The sequence below is a fragment of the Homo sapiens genome, chromosome 8 (assembly GCF_000001405.40).
Source record: "Homo sapiens chromosome 8, GRCh38.p14 Primary Assembly".
Taxonomy (NCBI): domain Eukaryota; kingdom Metazoa; phylum Chordata; class Mammalia; order Primates; family Hominidae; genus Homo; species Homo sapiens.
In genome coordinates this window covers 85,315,979-85,317,702 of record NC_000008.11, presented here as the reverse complement: position 1 = coordinate 85,317,702, position 1,724 = coordinate 85,315,979, and the positions used below count along the sequence as shown (strand labels likewise).

Sequence of the window (1,724 nt, the reverse complement as noted above, 5' to 3'; positions counted from 1 at the left end):
CCTGCCATTATCAGATTTCCAAGCCAAGTTCAAGCTACATTTATTATAAATCTGCCCCCGACCTGTTTTGAAAGGTTACTTGAAATCAAATAGAGCAAACCAAAACTAAAGTTGCGTTAGGTTAAACCTGATTTTAAAATAAATGATTCAGCACTTTAAAGAACAAAGGAAACATTCTGTGAAGTTATAATCTATTTGGAAAATTTGAAAAGGATTCCAAATGTTTCCCACTGGGCAATGTGGACAAAGAATCTTATGAAAGGTAACTGAATGGCAGGTTTTTTCTGTGTACAGAAAACTTATTGATGAGCATTGTACATTATATCACAGTTATCTATGACCTGACGGACCCATGAGATGAACTTGGACCCAAGGAGCTCATAATGGGAATGAACACAGCTCTGTAACAGTAACAGACCAGCTTCACTGAGAACTTTGTGGCACCACTCTGTTGGAATGAATCTTTTCTTAGTGGTAAGAATGTACCCACTTTGCAATTCAAAGTATTGAAACAATGTATGCAAATCAACCACAGTTAAGGGTATGTGATAGTGTAGTTAAAATGCTGGAGGCACTGGAAACGAGCAAACTTCACCCAAACATTTATTAAACAACTAAAATGTGCCACCCTCACGCAGACACCCAGCCTCTCAACTTATCCCGGATCCCTCTTAACTTCCCTCATCATCTCCAAGTCTACTAACTCATCATTATTAAAGTCATCCTTGCTTCTTGCAGGGATAATCACCACCCTAATTGGTGCCTCTGCCTCTATGGTTGCCCTTCTCTTAACTATACTCCCCCATTCAGGGTTCAAAATAATCAACTATTTCCCTGTATAAAACCCTTTAGGTTCCTCTTTGATTTAGGATAAACTCCGAGTTCCTTAAAATGGCTCTTGAGACCTCCGGGATGTGTCCTAACTTATCTCTCCTGCTTCACCTCGCACTACTCCAAGAGCAACCTGTGCTCCAGCCACACAGATGTGTCTGCAGTTCCCTTAACAGATTACATCACTACATACCTCAGTGCCTTTGCACAGTCAGTAACATGTCTCACGGTGCTATATCTTCTTCAAGACGCAACCAAATATCTGTCTCATTCTAAAAAATTCTTTGGTCCCATAAGAAATAATTACACAGACCCTTAGACCTAAACAAGAAGGAGACCGGGGCTAAACCCTGCACTTCAGAGGACCTCACACATCATAAACAAACAAAAATAAATTTCTTGAGGAACATATAAACATAACTGTCTTTTTGGAGCTGATGCTCAGACTGGCACAGCAGAACCCCAAACCCTAAATATCTGTTGTCATGACTAAAATGATTCAGGGCCCAAGGAAATACCTCTCTCCAAGTCTTTAGTCCTATGTCCTTGAAACAAAAGTCCACTGTGTCTGAACAAGGCAAGGTTTTGTGGGTTCTGCCACTGCTAATACTGGAGATGGAGACTGCTGCAGAGTATGGGGAGGATTTGAGCAGTAATAGCACGTAGGCAAGAGAGAGGCCACAGTAATCATTTTCTTCAAACAGCATATGTGCAATAGATTCTTACAAAATAAACTGTTATTTCCAGTTCTCAGAAGAGAGAGCCAAGTACACATTTCCTTGTCTATGTGCTCAAATTTATGGTTCCAGAGATACTCACAAATGAATGAGTATTCATAGCAGTTGCATATGGCAGCTGAGGAACATTTTGAAATTTTAAGCAATTCATATTCC

At 40.1% G+C, this 1,724-nt stretch overlaps 1 annotated feature.

Moving 5' to 3' along the window:
• Positions 253 to 784: an enhancer, noted in NCBI's record as "NANOG hESC enhancer chr8:86229148-86229679 (GRCh37/hg19 assembly coordinates)". NCBI's record gives its function as "activates a minimal SCP1, AML or CMV promoter by ChIP-STARR-seq in primed H9 embryonic stem cells {active_cell/tissue: H9 hESC(primed)}" and the evidence as "EXISTENCE:reporter gene assay evidence [ECO:0000049][PMID:30033119]".